This window comes from Homo sapiens, chromosome 20, assembly GCF_000001405.40.
Source record: "Homo sapiens chromosome 20, GRCh38.p14 Primary Assembly".
Lineage (NCBI taxonomy): Eukaryota > Metazoa > Chordata > Mammalia > Primates > Hominidae > Homo > Homo sapiens.
This window is the reverse complement of record NC_000020.11, coordinates 2,835,261-2,855,893: the sequence shown is the minus strand read 5'-3', so window position 1 is coordinate 2,855,893 and position 20,633 is coordinate 2,835,261. Positions and strand designations below refer to the sequence as shown.

Sequence of the window (20,633 nt, the reverse complement as noted above, 5' to 3'; positions counted from 1 at the left end):
TTAGTGAACTATGTATAAGATCACAACATTCCCTTAGGCCAAAGCCTAATTCAGAGCAAGGCCCTAACTCTTTAAATTCTATAAAGGCTGAGACAGGTGAGGAAGCTGCAGAAGTTTGAAATTAGCAGAGGTTTGTTCATGAGGTTTAAGGGAAAAAGCCATCTCTGTAATGTAAAAGCACAAGGTAAAGCAGCAAGTGCTGACAAAGAAGCTGCAGCAAGTTATCCAGAAGATCTAGCGAAGATCATTGACAAAGGTGGTTGGCTAAACAACAGGTTTTCAATGTAGACAAAACAGTCTTATATTGGAAGAAGATGCCATCTAGACCTTTCATAGCTAGAAAGAAGTCAACACCTGGCTTCAAAGCGTGTAAGGACAGGGCTGACACTCTTGTTGGGGCCTAATGCAGCTAGTGACTTTAAGTTGAGAACAGTGCTCATTTACCATTCTGAAAATCCTAGGACCCTTAAGAATTATGCTAAATCTACTCTATCTGTGCTCTAGAAACGGGATAACAAAGCCTAGATGACAGCACATTGTTTACAGCATGGTTTACTAAACGTTTTAAGCCCACTGCTGAGACCCACTGCTCAAAAAAAAAAAAACAAGATTCCTTTAAAAACATTACTGCTCATTGGCCAGGCGCGGTGGTTCATGCCTGTAATCCCAGCACTTTGGAAGGCCGAGGCAGGCAGTTCACAAGGTCAGGAGTTGAGACCAGCCTGGCCAATATGGTGAAACCCCGCCTCTACTAAAAATACAAAAATTAGCCGGGCATGGTGGAGTGCGCCTGTGGTCCCAGCTACTCGGGAGATTGAGGCAGAGGAGTCACTTGAACCCAGGAGGCGGAGGTTGCGGTGAGCCGAGATTGCACCACTGCACTCCAGCCTGGGTGACACAGCGAGATTCCATCTCAAAAAAAAAAAAAAAAAATTACTGCTCATTGACAACGTATCTGGTCCCCCAAAAACTCTGATGGAGATGTACAAGGAGATTAATGTTGTCTTTATGCCTTCTAACACAACATCCATTGTGCAGCTCATGGATCAAGGAAAGAGTGATTTCAATTTTCTTTTTCTTTCTTTCTTTTTTTTTTTTGAGATGGAGTCTCACTCTGTTGCCCAGGCTGGAGTGCAATGGTGCAATCTCAGCTCAACGCAACCTCCACCTCCCGGGTTCAAGCAATTATCCTGCCTCGGCCTCCTGAGTAGCTGGGACTACAGGCATGCACCACCATGCCCAGCTAATTTTTCTATTTCTTTAGTAGAGACAGGGTTTCACCGTGTTGGCCAGGCTGGTCTCGAACTCCTGACCTCAAGTGATTCGCCTGCCTCAGCCTCCCAAAGTGTTGGGATTACAGATGTGAGCCACCACGCCCGGCCTCAATTTTCAAGTCTTATATAAGAAATACATTTTTTTCTTTCTCTCTCTCGTTTTTTTTGTTTTGTTTTGTTTTGTTTTTAGAAAGACATTGTCTTGCTCTGTTGCCCAGGATGGAGTGCAGTGATGTGATCATGGCTCACTGTAGCCTTGAAGCCTCAAACTCCTGGACTCAAGTGATGCTCCAACCTCAGCCTCCTGAGTAGCTGGGACTACTGGCGCATGCTAGTGCACTTGGCTAAAAAATTTGTGTGTGTGTGTGTGTGTGTGTGTGTAGAGACGGGGTCTCTGTTGCCAGGCTGGTCTTGAAATCCTGGCCTCAAGTGATTCTTATACCTTGGCCTCCCAAAGTGCTGGTCTTACAGGTGTGCACGACCATGCTTGGCCTAGAAATACATTTTATAAGGCTATAGCTGCCATAGCTAGTAATTTCTCTGATGGATCTGGACAAAACTGAAAGCCTGGAAAGGTTTTCAGTGGTGCAATCTCAGCTGGAAAGGAGTCACCATTGTAGATGCCATTAAGAACACTTATGATTCATGGCTGGGCACGGTGGCTCACACCTGTAATCCCTGCATTTTGGGAGGCTGAGGCAGGCAGATCGCCTGAGGTCAGGAGTTCAAGACCAGCCTGGCCAACACGGTGAAACCCTGTCTCTACTAAAAATATAAAAATTAGCCAGGTGTGGTGGCGGGTGCCTGTAATCCCAGCTAATCAGTAAGCTGAGGCAGGAGAATCGCTTGAACCCGGGAGACGGAGGTTGCAGTGAGCCGAGATCATGCCACTGCACTCCAGCCTGGGTGACAGAATGAGACTTCGTCCCAAAAAATAAAAAAAATAAAAATAAAATACTCTTATGATTCATGAGAGGAGGTCAAAATATCAAAATTAACAGGAGTTTGGAAGAAGTTGATTCCAATCCTCATGGATGACTTTGAGGGGTTCAAGACTTCAGTAGGAGTCTCTGCAGATGCAGTGGAAATAGCAAGAGAATCAGAATTAGAAGTGAGGCCTGAAGATGTGACTGAATTGCTTCAATCTCAGCACTTGAACAAATAAGGATTTGCTTCTTATGGATGAGCAAAGAAAGTGGGTTTTTTTTTTTTGTTGTTGTTTGTTTGTTTTGAGACAGAGTCTTGCTCTGTCACCCAGGCTGGAGTGCAGTGGCACGATCTCGGCTCACTGCAACGTCTGCTTCCCAGGTTCAAGCAATTCTCCTGCCTAGGCTTCCTGTAGCTGGGATTACAGGCACCCAGCACCACACCCAGCTAATTTTTGTATTTTTAGTAGAGACACGGTTTCACCATGTTGGCCAGGCTGGTTTTGAACTCCTGGCCTCAAGTGCTCTGCCCACCTTGGCCTCCTAAAGTGCTGGGACTACAAGTGTGAGCCACCATGCCCGGCTGAAAGTGGTTTCTTGAGATGGCATCTACTATTGTGAACACTGTTGAAATGACAACAAAGGATTCGGAGTATTACATATACTTAGTTAATAAAGCAGCGGCGTGGTTTGAAAGGATTAACTCCAATTTTGAAAGTTCTATTTTGGATAAAATGCTATCAGACAGCATTGCATGCTACTGAGAAATCTTTCATGAAAGGAAGAGCCCACTGTTGTGGCAACTTCATTGTTGTTTTAAGAAATTATGATAGCCACCCTAACCTTCAGCAACCACAACTCAGATTAATTAGTAGTCATCATCACTGAGGCAAGACCCTCCACCAGCACAAATACTACACGTTGCTTAAGACTCTGATAATCACTAGCATATTTTAGCAATAAAGTATTTTTAAGTTACGTACTTTTGTTTAGACATAATGCTATTGCACACCTAATATACTACAGTATACTGTAAACATAAAACTTTTATATGGACTGGGAAACCAAAAAAATTCATGTGACGTGTTTTGCAATATTCATTATATTGTTGTAGTCTGGAACTGAACCCATAATATCTCCAAAGCATGTCTGTATATACTTTGGCATTATTTGAATTTACAACCCATATGCATTTCTTTTGACATTCTATAACTAAAATCATTGGGTGAAAAAACATCTGATAGGAAAATAGATATTCATACAAATCTAGCATGCCAGTTATCAACGCATTGCCTCTCAGCTCCAAATTCACCCTTTAACCCATGTTCTGTGGTAATGGTCAGCATTCCTTTAAACATTTCTCCTTTATAGTGAGCATGTTAAGCTTTCTCAGCAGAGGGCGCTGGAAGGACACTGCACTAGGAAGGGGCCCTCCTGTGCTTCCAGGGTTGGTGGTCAGCCAGCAGTCAGGGTGTGAGAATATCTAGTACTGCTCCGCCCCAGCCACACATCCGCAAAGCATGGTCCCTCAGCAACATCGCAGCACTTTCCGGATCACCTTCTCAAGCTGTCTGGACAGACGCTGCACTCCAGGCTTCCTGCCCACACCAGGTCCCCACTTCCTCTCTATACCAAGATGCCTGGCCACTGGCTGCATCCTGCCTGTGCACTAGTGTTTCCACCAATGTCCTCTGCACACCTGTATGCCCAGCCACAGGTTTTTTGAGACAGCGTCTCGCTCTGTCGCCCAGGCTGGAGTACAGTGGCACGATCTCGGCTCCTGCAAGCTCCGCCTCCCGACTTCACGCCATCCTCCTACCTCAGCCTCCTGAGTAGCTGAGACTACAGGAGCCTGCCATCACGCCCAGCTAATTTTTTTTGTATTTTTAGTAGAGACGGGGTTTCACCGTGTTAGCCAGGATGGTCTCGATCTCCTGACCTTGTGATCTGCCTGCCTCGGCTTCCCAAAGTGTTGGGATTACAGGTGTGAGCCACCTCGCCCAGCCTGTGTGTTTTTTGTTTTTTTTTTTTGAGACGGAGTTTTGCTCTTGTTGCCCAGGCTGGAGTGCAATGGAGCAATACCGGCTCACTGCAACCTCTGCCTCCCAGGTTCCAGCAATTCTCCTGCCTCAGCCTCCCAAGTAGCTGGGATTACAGGCACGCACCACCATGCCCAGCTAATTTTGTAGTTTTAGTAGAGATGGGGTTTCACCATGTTGGCCAGGCTGGTCTCAAACTGGTATCGTTAGTAGAGACGGGGTTTCTCCACGTTGGTCAGGCTGATCTCGAACCCCCAACCTCAGGTGATCTGCCCACCTCGGCCTCCCAAAGTGTTAGGATTACAGGCGTGAGCCACCATGCCCGGCCTACCTTGCCATATTGACACTGTGTGTTGCAGGCCTCCTGCCTGCACCAGCACTCCCATTCACACCGTCCACCTAACACCCCAGGCTGAGAGTTGCAGCTTGCCTACGTCTTTACATCCCTTGTGGCCTCAGAGGGTTGCTTCTTGCTTGTCTGATATTATAGACCAGCTCCAACCTGGGCAAACCAACTTCTCTGCCATCCAGTGGGCTGCAACTGTATTTTTCCAACGAGGTCTGAACCCTAGCCTGAAGACAGGCTCCCTCTTCCAAGTTTGTCATTCCTTGGGTACTCTTCCTTGGCCCCAGGCTATCATAAAATTTTCTTATATCTCATATTCTTTTTCTTTTTTTTTTTTTTTTTTGACAGTCTTACTCTATCGCCCAGCTACAGTGCAGTGGTGTGATTGGCTCACTGTAGCCATGACCTCCCAGGGCTCAGGTGACTCTCCCACCTCAGCCTCCTGAGTAGCTGGGACTACAAGTGTGCACCACCATGCCCAGCTGTTTTTTTTGTTTTTTTTTTGTAGAGATGGGGTTTCACCATGTTGCCCAGGCTGGTCTCAAACTCCTGGGCTTGTGTGATCTGCCTGCCACGGCCTCCCAAAGTATTGGGATTACAGGCGTGAGCTACCATGTCCAACCATATCATATACTCCTTTATCACAGTTAAATAATTTTTTTCTTTTTCTTTTTCTTTTCTTTGGAGATGGCGTCTCACTCTGTTGCCAGGCTGGAGTGCAGTGGCAAAATCTCGGCTAACTGCAACCTCCACCTCCCAGGTTCAAGCGATTCTCCTGCCTCAGCCTCCCAAGTAGCTGGAACTACAGGTGCACACCACCACACCCAGATAATTTTTGTATTTTTATCAGAGATGGGGTTTCACCACGTTGGCCAGATAGTCTCGATTTCTTGACCTCATGATCTGCTCACCTCGGCCTCTCAAAGTGCTGGGATTACAGGCATGAGCCACTGCATCCGGCCTTTTTGTTTTGTTTTGTTTTTTGAGACAGAGTTTCGCTCTTGTTGCCCAGGCTGGAGTGCAGTGGCACGATCTGGGCTCACTGCAACCTCTGCCTCCAAGGTTCAAGGAGTTCTCCTGCCTCATCCTCCCAAGTAGCTGGGGATTACAGGCGCCTGCCACCACGCCTGGCTAATTTTTTGTATTTTTATTAGAGATGGGGTTTTGCCATGTTGGCCAGGCTGGTCTCGAACTCCTGACCCCAGCTGACCCACCAGCATTGGTATCCCCAAGTGTTGGGATTACAGGCATGAGCCCCCACACCAGGCCAATAATTCTTTATATTAAACTTTCCATGTTAAGTCTTCTGACTGGACCCAGACTGGTACAGACTTGGTATAGAAGGAATAGTCCCAGAAGATAGACCCCCTAAAGATGGGATTTCGGAACTGGCTTGGTGTTGAGCTCTGTCAATGGAAAACTGATGCTATAACCCACTGTATGCACTTGCATCACAATTCATCAAGCCTGCAGTTTACTGTGGTGAAATGGTAACTGAAACATGTGCTGTAGGAGTGACTTCTATATTTGCCAGTGTGGCAGTAATGATGACTTTATAGATGGTGGCATGGGATGGATTGTTTTGAGTGCACTTGAACATTTACAAAGAGAAAGTGATCTCAGGTCTGTTAACACTCAGCTTGAGTCATGTTCTGAGAAGCAGAAGTCTTCTCTAACAGCACCCACCCCCCCCAAAAAAAATCTTATTTCAACCGGGTGCAGTAGCTCACATCTGTAATCTCAGCGTTTTGGGAGGCAGAGGCGGGCAGATCACCTGAGGTCAGGAGTTCAAGACCAGCCTGGCCAACATGGAGAAACCTGTCTTTACTAAAAATACAAAATTAGCTGGGCGTGGTGGCGCATGCCTGTAATCCCAGCTACTCAGGAGGCTGACACAAAAGAATCGCTTGAACCCAGGAGGCAGAGGTTGCAGTGAGCCAAAATCGTGCCATTGCACTACAGTCTGGACAATAAGAGCAAAACTCCGCCTCAAAAAAAAAAAAAAAAAGAATCTTATTCCTTGTAGCCACATAGCTGCTACTGCTGAAAATCAAACACAAATTTGTGTGAGTTGTTGAATTACAACAGCTGAATTCCCCCAACACACCATTTCTCATGTGAAAATTAGGGTACTGATAGGAAACAATGAGATCCTGAAACTTGGAAGAGGGATATCTGGTTAGATCCACATGAAACTGACAATCTTGAACTCCCAGGTCATTCTGAGCTTCCCTTACCAGAGGGAAGCCTTCCTGTCTCCAAGGAGACTAGCTTTTCCTTGAAAGCCCTGCTAACCTAACTTGGGGTAGCTGTCTTAGAAGCCTCCCAATCCACGTAATGCTGCCAATAGCAAAGACAATACGTGACCCCAATATGGCACCATTCCCAGAGGAACCAGCCTACAAGTTGATTATATTAGGTCTCTTCCATTTCAGAGAGGGCAATGACTTATCCCCACTGGAACAGATACATATTCTGAATGTGGATTTGCCTTTCCTGTCTGCAATGTGTTTTCCAGCACCCACCATCTGTGGATTTACAGAATGCTCTATCCAGCATTGTGGCATTCTGCAAAGCACTGCAGCTAATCAAGGACCTCATTTCATAGCAAAGAAAGGTAGCAGTGGGCTCACAGCCATGGGATCAACTGGCCTTACCCTATACCCCATCACTCACAAGCAGCTGACCTAAATTTACTGACAACTTGGTTATAGCACCAATTGCAAGACAATGTCCTCAAAAGGGTGGGGTTCTTTCTTATAAGATGCAGCCTAGGCTTTTAATCAGAGATGATTATATGGTGTTATCTCCTCCATTTGGGGCCTAGATTCAAGAGGTGGAAGTGGGAGTGGCTCCGCTCACTATTACACCTGATAACAACCTTACAAAAATGTTGCTTCAGACAGGCATGGTGGCTCACACTTGTAATCCCAGCACTTTGAGAGGCTGAGGTGGGTGGATCACCTGAGCCCAAGAGGTCGAGGCTGCAGTGAACCAAGACTGCACCACTGCACTCCAGCCTGAGTGACAGAGTGAGACTTTGTCTCTAAAAAATTAAAATTAAAAATAAAAAATAAATAGAAGTAGAGCCCTTGTGGTGAGTGAATGCAGGCTGACTCCATATAATAGGACTGTGGGACCCCAGTTGGGTTTGGTGCCTGTGGATGTGTAGCAGTCCCAATCTGCCTGCTACGTGAACCTCATGGCAGTGCTCATCAGACTGGGTACATGTACAGAGGTGGTGAGAGGCTGGTGCACTGGAAGGTGGTTCTGCACCGTGCAGGGGTAACCAAAGGACAAAGGATCAAGGTTGCTAGGGAAAGGGCAAGAAAAAAACCGAAGCAGCTGACTGTGGCTGTACTCTAAGGTGGGCAGAGAGGGAAACATCTACAAAAGGGGGTTCTGCATGTAGACACCAAGAGAACAGAGGGCTCCATGAATGAGGATCCTGAGGAGGCTGAAGGATGGGTATAACATGGGGAGGTATTAGAGTATCGGTGCAGACAAGAGCTTATGGTAAGAGAGGGGGCGGGGCTGGGTGCGGTGGCTCACGCCTGTAATCCTAGCACTTCCGGAGGCCGAGACAGGCGGATCATGAGGTCAGGAGATCAAGACCATCCTTACCAACATGGTGAAACCTCGTCTCTACTAAAAATACAAAAATTAGCTGGGTGTGGTGGCGCATGCCTGTAATCCCAGCTACTCGGGAGGCTGAGGCAGGAGATTTGCTTGAACCCGGAAGGCAGAGGTTGCAGTGAGCCGAGATCATGCCATTGCACTCCAGCCTGGCGACAGAGCAAGAGTCCGTCTTAAAAAAAAAAAAAAAATAGAGGGGGCGGTTTGATTTTAGCATTTCAGAGGTAGAGCAGTTCTGGATGAGCACAAGGGTGGGATGGGATCCAGGGAGGGGGTGGGTGAGATGGATAAAATCACTTGAGTAGAGGTCATAGAACCATGAAGCCAGGTGGCCACTTAAGTCTCCCTAGAAGGTGGCAAGAGCTGGGATGCCTAGGAGGCCGTGGGCTAAAACAACAATCAGGGAGCAGTGCAGTTGGTCAAGGATGTCTGCAGCGACAAAGACCAGGTGGGAAGGAGACACAATGGACCCCCTAAAGGGGTACAAAAGTAAAGGTCAGGGAGTGAAGAGCAATAACGTATGGACCACCTCCTGAAGCCTTAGAGGTAAAGTGGGCTTCTAGAGGACAGTGAGGTGACTCAAACTGTGCCTGGAGGGTAGCACAGGGTATGGATGGGCAGAGTGAAGAGCAGCTTCTCAGAAAAGCCTAAGGGTGAGGACTCTGTGAAGAGAGGCCACACACTTAGTGAGGAAGGCCAGCCCCATCTTTCTGCTCCACTCCTACGTCCCAGAAGTGGAAATCTCAGCAGCAGTAAATGGACCTTGGAATCGAATCGAATACCAGGAAATCGTTAAACCTAAGGATGTAGTGAGGTACCGGTAGCCTCAATTGCAGTCCCCTGCTGGAAACAGTGAAGAAATTTCTGTGGCAGGGCAGCTGAACTGCTGGAGAAGCATGGTCTACTGGGGTGTGAGAAGACCCTTGAGTGAAAATAGATGATCTCCAGCCTGTCCAAGCTAAGATATCAGACCACTAGGGAGGAAGATGCATGTTAGGTATAATCTGGTTGCCTTGGGGTATAATCCAGTAATTCCCAAATCCCAGGCCCTAAAGAGAGTTCACTGTCACTCCTGAAATCCCTTGTTTCCAGCCTGTCTCAAAAACATATACTACTAAAGAACTCCTGGGCATTGTTGCTGGGAATGTAAAATGGTACATCAGCTGCTATGGAAAAAAGTAAACATAGAATTACCATATGATCTAGCAATTCCACTTCTGGATATATACCCAAAATAATTAAAAGCGGAGTACAGAGGCCGGGTGCAATGGCTTATGCCTGTAATCCCAGCACTTTGGGAGGCCGAGGCAGGCAGATCACCTGAGGTCAGGAGTTCGAAAGCAGCCTGGCCAACATGGTGAAACCCCATTTCTACTAAAAATACAAAAATTAGCCAGGCACAGTGGTGGGTGCCTGTAATCCCAGCTACTTAGGAGGCTGAGGCAGGAGAATCACTTGAACCCGGGAGGCAGATGTTGCAGTGAGCTGAGATCGCGCCACTGCACTCCAGCCTGGGCGACAGAGCGAGACTCCATCTCAAAAAAAAAAAAAAAAAAAAAAGCGGAGTACAGAAAATATTGAATAGATATTTGTAGACCCACATTCACAGCAGATTATTCACAATAGCCAAGGGCTACCAGCAACCCAAGTGTCCATGGAAAGATGAAATGGATAAGCAAAATGTGGTAGATGCATACAATGGCATATTATTCAGCCTCGAAAAGGAAGAAAATTCTGACACATGCTATAACATGGATAAATCTTGAAGATATTATGCTAAGTGAAATAAGCCAGTCACAGGAAGTAAGTGCTATATGACTCCACTTACATAAGGAGTCTAGGGTAGTCAAATTCTGAGACAGAAAACAGAATGGTGGTTGCCATGGGCTGGGGGGAGGAGGAAATGGGGAGTTGTTTGAGGGTACAGAATTTCAGTTTTGCAAGATGAAAAAGTCCTGGAGACTGGTTGCACAACAACGTGAATATACTTAACACTATTAAAGGGTACACTCAAAAATGGTTAAGAGAGTAAATTTTATATCATGTATATTTAACCACAATTTTTTAAAATGTTCTTTTTTTTTTTCAGCCTCCCAAGTTGCTGGGATTACATGTGCGTGCCACTACACACAGCTGACTTTTTTGAAAAAAAAGTTCATGTTTATGTATCAAAAAAACAAAATGAAACAAAAATATAACTACTTAAATAGTTGCCCTCCCTTCTAAAAATAATTTCAGGAGTATATAATGTATCTTAACTCTCCTTTCTTTTACCATAAGATGCTTCTTAGTACCTGAAACTCAATGTATCTAGAACCAAGCTCACCTCCTTCCCTGCCAAACTCACGCTTCCTTTCTCATGATTTTATTTAAGCCCCAAATCCAAGTCATCCTTGATTCCTTGCTCTCCTTCCTCCCCACCAAGTGCAGTCATTACGAATTTCTTCCACTTTACTTCTAAATCTCTGAGACTGGCCCCTTCTCTCCACCTCCACCATCACCACCCCAGTACTGGCCATCCTCAACTTTTTCCTGTTCTGTTCCATCAGGCTCCTAACCATCTCCCTTGCTTCCATTTTGCTTGTTCCTTCCAACTTTTCCCCAGCATTGCCTACAAAAGGAACTTAAAACACACACACACACACACACACACACACACACACACCCCTTGCAAATCCAATTACATCAACCTTTTGTTAAGATCCTTTAATTGAGGCTTCCCATCGTTCTTCAGATAACGGTGATCTACACGTCCCTGCAGCGTGTGACCCCTACACGAAGGGCATCAACTTCATCCATGTCCTGTTCTTGTTGCCTACAGCACTCCAGCCACACTGGCTCTCTTTAGGTCACTGTGCATGCCTCAGTCCTTCCTGCCTCAAGACTTTTGTGTATATGCTCTTCTCCACCTCCATCCCACTTCATGCACCTACATCTACTCATCCCCTGGATAGGGTATTATTACTTCTTTCAGAGTGTCTTCTCTACCTTTGACTCCTGGAGTCTGTAACATGTTCTCTTAGGTTATTTGCTACTATACCTCTCTTTATAGTGATTATGATCAAACAAATACTGAGTGATTATCAACTGTCTCGCCTGCTGGCTGTAAGCTCTATGATGGCAGGCAGAACTCTTCCACATCTGTTTTATCATACTGGCTCAGCCTGCCAAAGGGATGGGACAAATTAATTAATTAGATTAGCCCAAGTTGCATTTTTAGGATTAAAAAAATAGCTTAACTTCTGGAGTCCCATAAGAACTGGTCACCGTTTCTCCTCCTTGCCTTCCCAAATTGAGTGGGTTCTCCAGAATACTACTCCCAATACAAAAGAATCCTGTCAGGCAGATAGGACTTGAAATGTAATGTCTGCCACCTGTTTTATCATTCATTCACTGACTCAGACATGTATCAAGTCCTGCCTATGCATAAAGCTATGCACACATATGAACAAAACTAAGTACTTGCTCTTAAAGCATTTCCATTCTGGTGGAAAAGGTGAAACATGCTCTTATATTTTCCTGTTAACCTGCCCGCCCCCAAAACCCTATTTTTTAACAGAGGTCTAGAACCTGTTTGGGTTCAAAGCCTGACTCCACTACTCAATAGCTGTGTAACCTGGTCACTAGTTGTATAACCTGGCCTCTCTGTGCCTCGGCTTCCTCATCAGTAAGATGGTACCTACCTCATGGGATTGTAAGGCTTAAGCAAGTTAAAACACATAAAGTACTTAGCATGTTTAGTACATAAGAAAGGCTCAATAGCTGTTAGCAACTTAAAACATAAATATCCTCCCCAGCAAGCCTTAGACCCCTAATCCTTTCTGGCAGTACAGCACAGGTAAGAGTAGATTAATCATTCAGATTGTGTCTGTGGCATGCACCCAACACATACATTCTTTTAAAACCTTATTAACATGTCAACAAAGCAAAGACTACATCTGACAAATAAGAGCTCTGTGGTAATGAGGTCAATGTCTGCAGTACTCTTTGATTTAATAAGCCTGGGTAGGCAACAGGTATCTTCAAAATAATACAAGTAAAGTTGATATTTTAAAAGTGAATGTTGTATCAACTAGCTGGTGTGTAAATACTAAATGACATGGCTACCTTGGTCAGCTGAAATTCCTTCTCCACAGAAACAAGTTGAAATCATTTCCTACTGCATTTATGGATTTTTAATGAAGTTTTTGCAATTTTTTCATACTGCACAGGCATATTTCTTTTCTTTTTTTTTTTTCCCCAAGATGGAGTCTTGCTCTGTTGCCCAGGCTGGAGTACAGTGGTGCGATCTTGGCTCACCGCAACCTCCGCCTCCCAGGTTCAAGCAATTCTCCTGCCTCAGCTTCCCGAGTAGCTGGGATTATAGGTGTGTGCCACCACGCCCGGCAAATTTTTGTATTTCTAGTAGAGACGGGGTTTCATCATGTTGGCCAGGCTGATCTCGAACTCTTGACCTCGTGATCTGCCTGCCTCAGCCTCCCAAAGTGCTGGGATTACAGGCGTGAGCCACCACGCTCGGCCAATTGCACAGGCATATTTCTAAGAGAGAATTATAAATAAACAACAAATGCAACAGGTCTCTAAAAACTGCCACAGGGCACTTGTCCATCTAGGAAGTATATCACATTAGGTACCAAAAATTACATTTAAAAGTTTTAATATGTCAGTGAGAATGGTATACAGTTTCATTAGCACAAACAAATGTCTTCTATTTAAGTAAGACCCCCATGCAATGTCTTTGTGATCTTTACTTGCAATCCATAACATATATCTATCTATCTATCGATAGATACATCTATCTATCTATCGATAGATACATCTATCTATCGATAGATACATCTATATGTCTATCTATAGATAGATACATCTATATGTCTATCTATAGATAGATACATCTATATGTCTATCTATAGATAGATACATCTATATGTATCTATAGATAGATACATCCATATGTCTATCTATATATAGATACATCTAGATGTATCTATATATATATAGATACATCTATATATCTATCTATATCTATCTATCTATAGATAGATATAGATAGATATATCTATATATAGACGGAGTCTCACTCTGTTGCCTGGACTAGAATGCAATGACGCTATCTTGGCTCACTGCAACCTCCGCCTCCCAGGTTCAAGCGATTCTCCTGCCTCAGCCTCCCAAGTAGCTGGGATTACAAGCACCTGCCATTATGCCTGGCTAATTTTTGTAGAGACAGGGTTTGACCATGTTGGTTAGGCTGGTCTCAAACTCCTGGCCTCAGGTGATTCACCCACCTTGGCCTCCCAAAGTGCTGGGATTACAGGCATGAGCCACTGCGCCTGGCCTAAAATAATATTTTTAATTTTTCAGAGGGAGTATGCTATGTTGCCCAGGCTGGAGTGCAGTGGTTATTCACAGGTTCTAACATCGGTCCCTACACCCTCAAACTTCTGGGCTCCAGTGATCCTCCTAACTCAGCCTCTCCAGTACCTGGGACTATAGGAACATGCCACAAAGCTCGGCCCAGTAAAATATTTTTAAAAAACTTTAATGGGCAATTATTACATAGCAAGCACTGTTCTAAATATGCACTGGTGATAAAGAGAAGCAAGAAACATGCTTTTGGCCGGGCTCAGTGGTTCACGCCTGTAATCCCAGTACTTTGGGAGGCCAAGGTGGATAGATTGCTTAAGGTCAGAAGTTCAAGACCAGCCTGGCCACCATGGTGAAACCTCACCTCTAGCAAAAAATACAAAAATTAGCCGGGCGTGGTGACAGGGGCCTGCAGTCTCAGCCACTCGGGAGGCTGAGGCAGGAGAATCCCTTGAACCCGGGAGGCGGAGGTTGCAGTGAGCCGAGTGCCCCTGCACTCCAGCCTGGGCAACAGAGGAAGACTCTGTCAAAAAAAAAAAAAATGCTTTCAGCCCTGAAGGAGCCTGGTTTAGCAGAAGAAACCTATACAAATGTCGCCTAAATATACAAATAGACCATACCTAAAAGACCCTAGCACTGGGCCCAGTGAGGCCCACAGGATTCTATTGGGGGAGAATCAGGCACAGTTCCAGAAAGAACCCTTGAACTACTAAGTCCTGAAGGATGCGCAAAATTCTTCAGTGAGATAAAGAGAGAAATGGCAGTATCCACAGAAACTGCAGACTGGTTAGGGCCTTGTAATTCTGCGCAGCTGGAACGCAAGATTTGGGTAGGAGAGCGGTAGATGAGGTTGGAGAGACAAACGGGCTGCCTTACAGATAGACGTTCCACGAGAAGTTCGTAGTTTTTCCTATTAGGGAAGCTATGGGAAAATCCTAATCTGGGTAACGATGTAACGGGTTTACACTTTAGAAAAATCCGTGGTTTAGGACTCTACAACTCCCATGGGCGGGCTGCCCTAACCCAGGGGTTCCCACTTCCGCTGTTCCGGGATTCACGGACGACTCGCCCCCTTTTCCCAGCCTTGGTCAGCACTGTTACCCCGCCCGCCGTGCGATCCCGCCCCCCTCGGAGCGCCCCTGTGGTCTGACTTCAGCAGCACTTTCCGGCAGGAGACTGGGCACTCGCTGTCACCCGCGAGCTGCCTCCCTCAGCGAGATCTGAGCATCTTTCCGGAGGCTAACAGACCTGGGCTTCGGGGTGACCACTGTGCTTGCCTCAGTTTCCTTTTCTGGAGCAGGGGAAGGCCCGGCTCCCTGCCCAAAGGCGGCTGTGCGCTAAGTGGCAGACGCTCGGGGAGAGCCGGCGCGGGGCGGACCCCAGCGCCAGTAGTGACAGGGGCGAACGCCGCCGGGAGACTCCAGCCGGCGGGCGAGCAGGGTAAGCCAGGCCGTGGGCGGGAGGGCGGGGCAGCTCACCGGTAAAAGGCAGAGTCCCCGAGTGGGTTCCAGTTCGCCGTGTAGCAGTCCATGGCTGGTGCAGACGGCAGCTGGGAAGCACCGAGGGGACACCCACCTAGAGCGGGCTCCAGGCCGGCACTTCCGCTTCCGCCCGTCCGGGTCACGTGGCGAGGCCGCCGCCGCGGCCATCACCACTGTGGGCAGCCTCACTTGGCTGCCGCCCCGAGACCCCAGCCCGTACCTGGGCTTCGCGCCCGCCAAGTGGGCCCAGCCCTGGCTCCTGCGCCCTGTGGCGGCCACCTCCATCGCCTTGCTTTCCCTTCGGGCACTGGGGGTCGCTCAGGGCGGGACATGGGTGAACGGAAGTGGAAGCTGTGAGCGTCGCAGCCCGAGGCGCCGAGGCCTGAGGCGCCGTCGGGGCCACAGCGACGCTCGCATGGAGAGCGCTGGGCGCTGGGCTGTGCACCGACGGCTAACCTGGACCCACGGTCTCTGCGGGGCGGGAGCTTTGCAGAACCGACTGGCCGACTGGGGCGCGGGAACATGAGGCTTGGCTAGGAGCCCGCTGCGGGCCAGGCGCGCGGTGCGCAGGCATACCCGGGTCGCGGGTGAACACCGCGGAGCCCCGGGACTTGGTAATTGGCGCGAGCGGGTGCGCGCATGCGCGGGACGGCGGCGGGCACGTGGCGAGGCGCAGGGCGGCGCCGCGCGGGAAGCTCCCCAGTGCCCTGGAGGCCTGCTGGCTGGACGACCCCCTGCCTCTGGTACCAAGTGTGACCAAGGCTGGCGCCACCATGGCTCTGCTGCCGTCACCTCCTCCCTTTAGCATTGAGCAGCCCCGGAGGGGCTAGCCCTGAGGCTGACCTGCCCAGAGTCCCCACCATCGCGCTGCTTAGTGGCCTCTCCCTGCAGCCTGTCGTTGCTGGTGGCGGCATGGTCTTCTGTCTGTCGAGCGAGGAGCCGCGCCGCCCGCTGCGAAGCGACATGGTCCACTTCCAGGCCTCGGAAGTCCAGCAGCTGCTACACAACAAGTTCGTGGTCATCTTGGGGGACTCCAGTGAGTGCCTCTTCTAGGGTGACGCTTCCAGTCCCACACCTTGCAGCCCGTTCAGTGTGTCTGGACCATTTGTTTCCATCTCACATCTCTTGTCTGTCTTCTGGTCTGTTCCGTCCAGTAGGTTTTCTCTTTTTATGTCCCACACATCTTCCACAGGAGTCCTGACAGGTGTAATAACCTGTGCACTTTTTAGCCCATCCTTGCTCAGCATTTCTCGCCCTGACAGCTCCCCATAATTTCCATCACGAAAGCGTTGCATTGTGTAGTGTGTCTCCTGGGTGACTTGGCCGACTTAATTTCTGCCAGGTGATCTTGGGTCACTGTATACTGCTGGCCAGGAGGCACACAGAACAGAGGCAATGCCAGGACTTTTTAACCTCATCTTTTCTCCTGCGTCTAAGTCAACCACAGAGCTGGTGTCGGGCACCTCAGCCCTGGGAAAATGGGGTCCTGGACTTGGAAGGAGCTGGGGCAGGCTGAGGTCTGCCTCAGCCTTGGGATCTCTGTCTCCTCCCAGTTCAGAGGGCTGTGTACAAGGACCTGGTGCTCTTGCTCCAGAAAGACTCACTGCTCACAGCTGCCCAGCTGAAAGCCAAGGTGAGGGAAGCTTGGTGGCCATGTCAGTGGTGGGTGGGCACAGACCCTGGCCTGGCAGGGTTCTCCTCCCTGGCATGGGTCTGACCAGTAGGGTGGGGGGGGTGGGTAGGGGGAGCTGAGCTTTGAACAGGACCAGCTGGTGGCTGGGGGCCAGCTGGGCGAGCTGCACAACGGGACACAGTATCGTGAGGTCCGCCAGTTCTGCTCGGGCTCTGGCCACCACCTTGTGCGCTTCTACTTCCTCACTCGTGTTTACTCCGAGTACCTTGAGGATGTTCTGGAAGAGCTGACATATGGACCTGCCCCGGACCTGGTGATCATCAACTCCTGCCTCTGGGATCTCTCCAGGTTGGGGCGAGGGAAAGGGGAATACTGGTTGGGGCTGGAAGTACGGCTGAGGCAGTCCACCCTTGTGCTCTTGCCCACCCTGTGTGTTATCCAACAGATATGGTCGCTGCTCAATGGAGAGCTACCGGGAGAACCTGGAGCGGGTGTTTGTGCGCATGGACCAAGTATTGCCAGACTCCTGCCTGCTGGTGTGGAACATGGCGATGCCCCTCGGGGAACGTATCACTGGGGGTTTCCTCCTGCCAGAGGCAAGTGACTGAGGCCCATCAGGACAAGAGATGGGATAGCAGACTGGTAGATAGGACACCCTGCTTTCAGACCCTGCTGCGTTCTGTGGCTCTTAGAGGCTGCACTTTCTCACTTAGCTCCAGCCCCTGGCAGGCTCCCTGCGGCGGGATGTGGTTGAAGGGAACTTCTACAGTGCTACGCTGGCCGGGGACCACTGCTTTGATGTCCTAGACCTCCACTTTCACTTCCGGCATGCAGTACAGCACCGTCATCGGGATGGTGTCCACTGGGACCAGCATGCACACCGCCACCTCTCACACCTGCTTCTGACCCATGTGGCTGACGCCTGGGGCGTGGAGCTGCCCAAGCGTGGCTATCCCCCTGGTGAGCCCTACCATAAGTGGGGGGGTAGTGATGCACTGGGGCCCTCAGAGGACAGGGCTCAGAAACAGAATGGGACACAGCCACTCAAGGGAAGTAGAGGTCCCTTGAAGGACTCCTGTGGCTTCTGCATGCACCTTCCTCAACCCCTGAGGAGGGTTAGATCATCGGAGCAATATTCTTGTCCAAGTTCCAGTTTTCTACAGTCTGGCTGTGTAGTCATTTCTGTGTGCTTGAAGGAGCTTGTACAAGTATTGACCACATAAGGCAGCATGTTGCAAGGGTCCTACCCAACAGATTAACAGGAAAGAAATGGGGCATGGGTGTGAGGAGTGGAAAGACAGGGAGGAAGGGCCATCCAGGCAGTGTGGCAGAAGCAAAGAAGCCCACAGCTGGGGGGTGGGGGTACAGTCAACTGGCAGGGTGTGGAACAGGGATGTTGCATCGGGAAGGCCAGCCTTATGGACTTGGGCTCAATGGACAGTGTTCCATAGGCTTCTTAGTTCAGCCTCAGAGTCCCACTGTGACTGGTGCAGCTTGGTGTAGCTCTCCTCGGGCCCCATCTCTGGGCCTTTGGTGGAGGCTTCTGAGGGCCCCACTCCCCCTTGTTTTGAGGCACTGCTCCCCATCACATCTCAACTGTAACACTCTGCTGCAGAACCTCTGTTTCCATGTCAACACCCTAGTCCCTGCATGCACACAAAGAGGGCACCATGGCTGATTGTCTCCATGGCTGCTTCTCCCCTGCATCGTGTCCTTAAAGGGCAAGTTTCCTGCTGCACTTGTTGACGACTCACCCCTTTCAGCCCCAGTGTCTAGCACAATTTCCCTGTACACAGTATCAACAGAATTGTATTTGTTGAATGGGAGGCACGAGTCATGTTAGAAGGCCGATTATGGCAGCACAAGAGGATGTGGGGGCACAGAGAGTCCAGGAATATCATAGAGACAGACCTGTAACACTTGGTAGCCAGGAGTTGGAGCATCAGGGAGGTGAATACAGATTTTGGTTAAACATCCCCATTTTCTTGTTTAGATGTAATAATTGATCCCCAGCAAATGATGGGATGCCCTGAAGGTTGTAAGGCTAGTTTTGATGGCTTAGGCCTTTGAAATCCAATTTGGAGCTACAGAAGTTAGGGCCATGAAAAGGGAGAGTTGATTTGGGGTGGAAGGATGAGTTGGTGAGTTTGGTCACAGCAGATTGATTTGAGGTTCTTTGGAAATACAGAGTAGATTTGCAGTCATTGGTACCCAGCAGAGAGATTAAAACTGAGGGCACAGTGGCAGCTGTGAGGGAGACAGAACGATGCTCATGCTTTGGATTGGCAGGAAAGAGGGGCTATGGCGGAAACAAAAGGAGATGAGGGCAGGGGCACTTTTAGGAAGGACTGAGGCTGCTGGCAGTGTCACATGACTGTTGAGAAGAAGGGAATTTGTTAGCAAGTGGTTACATTTAGTAGGAAAAGTGTTGAGGGCATGGGTTTGGATTAAAGGAGGGAGTGAGCAATTGAGGAGGAAGTGGAAATTGGGCAAAACATTCCTTTTGGAAGTTTGGATGGTAAAAGGAAGTTGTTGGGGAAGGGAATAACAGGATCTTTATGTTTGGCTTATTTACTGGTCTATGGGGAGGAGGTGGGCGAGGAAAAAGCTAGATACAAGACCTGGGCAAACAAAGAAGGCTCTGGAGGGAAGTGTAGGTTAGAACAAAGGTAAGTCTGAGAGGTAAGAGAGAAGGAACACACTTTGGGCTTGGCCTGAAATGAGAGGGAATGAGGAAAACTGGGTAGAGGGCAAGGATGCTCCAGCCTGGTGGCTCTGCTCTCCAAGAGGAAGGAATAGAGCTTTAGAAGTGTGGATGGCCAGAGTTCAGGGCAGCCTGGCTCCCAAGCCTACCTAAAACAACCATCCCATTCCTAGACCCGTGGATTGAGGACTGGGCAGAGATGAATCATCCATTCCAGGGAAGCCATAGGCAGACCCCAGACTTCGGGGAGCACCTGGCCTTGCTCCCACCCCCACCTTCTTCTTTGCCTCCTCCCATGCCTTTTCCCTACCCGCTTCCTCAGCCCTCGCCACCTCCCCTCTTCCCACCCCTGCCCCAGGATACCCCTTTTTTCCCAGGCCAGCCCTTCCCACCCCATGAATTCTTCAACTATAATCCAGTGGAGGACTTCTCGATGCCACCCCACTTAGGTAGGTGCTTCTGCAGCTCCCCCACCCTCTTGTACCTCCCCTTACCCAGCCTCCTATGCCTAGGTGAGCTGAGAGGAGTTGGGTAGCTCCTTGTGCCCCTAGCACTGGGTTTGGTCACAGCAGTCCCTGAGTCTGAAACATCATCTGTAGGTTCATTAATCAGCTCACTGGTTGTCACTGTTTCACCGTCTGAAGGTAGGGGAAGGACTATCCCTTTTTTGTAGATAGGGAAACAGAGAAGCTCACCTGGAGGACAAGAGTTGCTTCAAGGCAGAGCTGCACTCACTCTGGCCAGAAGCCTGCTCTTATAATGACTGGTTCTTTTGTAGGATGTGGCCCTGGAGTGAACTTTGTGCCTGGCCCTCTGCCACCTCCAATCCCTGGCCCTAATCCCCATGGTCAGCACTGGGGCCCAGTGGTCCACCGGGGGATGCCACGCTATGTTCCTAACAGCCCCTACCATGTGCGGAGAATGGGGGGGCCCTGCAGGCAGCGGCTCAGACACTCAGAGAGACTGATCCACACATACAAACTGGACAGACGGCCTCCTGCCCATTCGGGGACATGGCCTGGGTAGACTGGATCTTGGGCTGGGACTGGATGTGCCAATGGCCCTTCAGGGCCTGCCTGGCACCTCAGGTACTGGGCTAGGGTGTCTGCTATGCCTGGTATTGTTCTTGTCCATTGCTGTCACCAATAAAGGCATGGAAGAACAGAGTGACAAATTCCTGTGTGCAGTGGGTATCCCAAACCATGATCTTAAGATTGGGGGAGGTTG

At 49.0% G+C, this 20,633-nt stretch overlaps 2 protein-coding genes across 11 annotated transcripts in view, besides 3 other annotated features; one reads left to right on the top strand and one right to left on the bottom strand.

The window, feature by feature from the left end:
* Nucleotides 1-15,149, bottom strand: part of VPS16 (VPS16 core subunit of CORVET and HOPS complexes) — a 25,988-nt gene extending 10,839 nt beyond the window's left edge. For both annotated transcript variants that reach the window (NM_022575.4, NM_080413.3), the window contains exon 1: nt 15,067-15,149. In NM_022575.4, coding sequence (NP_072097.2) covers nt 15,067-15,119 — 53 coding nt within the window. In that variant the 5' untranslated portion in view covers nt 15,120-15,149. The remainder of the gene's footprint in view (nt 1-15,066) is intronic.
* Nucleotides 14,341-14,872: an enhancer, noted in NCBI's record as "H3K27ac hESC enhancer chr20:2821668-2822199 (GRCh37/hg19 assembly coordinates)". NCBI's record gives its function as "activates a minimal SCP1, AML or CMV promoter by ChIP-STARR-seq in naive H9 embryonic stem cells {active_cell/tissue: H9 hESC(naive)}" and the evidence as "EXISTENCE:reporter gene assay evidence [ECO:0000049][PMID:30033119]".
* Nucleotides 14,743-20,580, top strand: PCED1A (PC-esterase domain containing 1A). 9 transcript variants are annotated; one of them, NM_001271168.2, is made up of 8 exons: nt 14,743-15,028; nt 15,961-16,105; nt 16,623-16,702; nt 16,965-17,050; nt 17,148-17,298; nt 17,416-17,662; nt 19,580-19,855; nt 20,185-20,580. In NM_001271168.2, exons 2-8 carry the CDS (start codon nt 15,982-15,984, stop codon nt 20,430-20,432), a joined length of 1,212 nt encoding a protein of 403 aa, NP_001258097.1. In that variant the 5' UTR covers nt 14,743-15,028; nt 15,961-15,981; the 3' UTR covers nt 20,433-20,580. The 9 variants fall into 9 exon arrangements, with proteins under 9 accessions (NP_001258097.1, XP_005260861.1, XP_005260862.1 ...); XM_005260804.3 differs by having other exon boundaries at nt 16,812-17,050; XM_005260805.4 differs by lacking the exon at nt 14,743-15,028 and adding an exon at nt 15,239-15,683.
* Nucleotides 15,406-15,937: an enhancer, noted in NCBI's record as "H3K27ac-H3K4me1 hESC enhancer chr20:2820603-2821134 (GRCh37/hg19 assembly coordinates)". NCBI's record gives its function as "activates a minimal SCP1, AML or CMV promoter by ChIP-STARR-seq in primed H9 embryonic stem cells {active_cell/tissue: H9 hESC(primed)}" and the evidence as "EXISTENCE:reporter gene assay evidence [ECO:0000049][PMID:30033119]".
* Nucleotides 17,414-17,713: an enhancer, noted in NCBI's record as "active region_17472". NCBI's record gives its function as "activates an Ori minimal core promoter by ATAC-STARR-seq in GM12878 lymphoblastoid cells {active_cell/tissue: GM12878}" and the evidence as "EXISTENCE:reporter gene assay evidence [ECO:0000049][PMID:35858748]".
* Nucleotides 20,581-20,633: the final 53 nt, after the last annotated feature.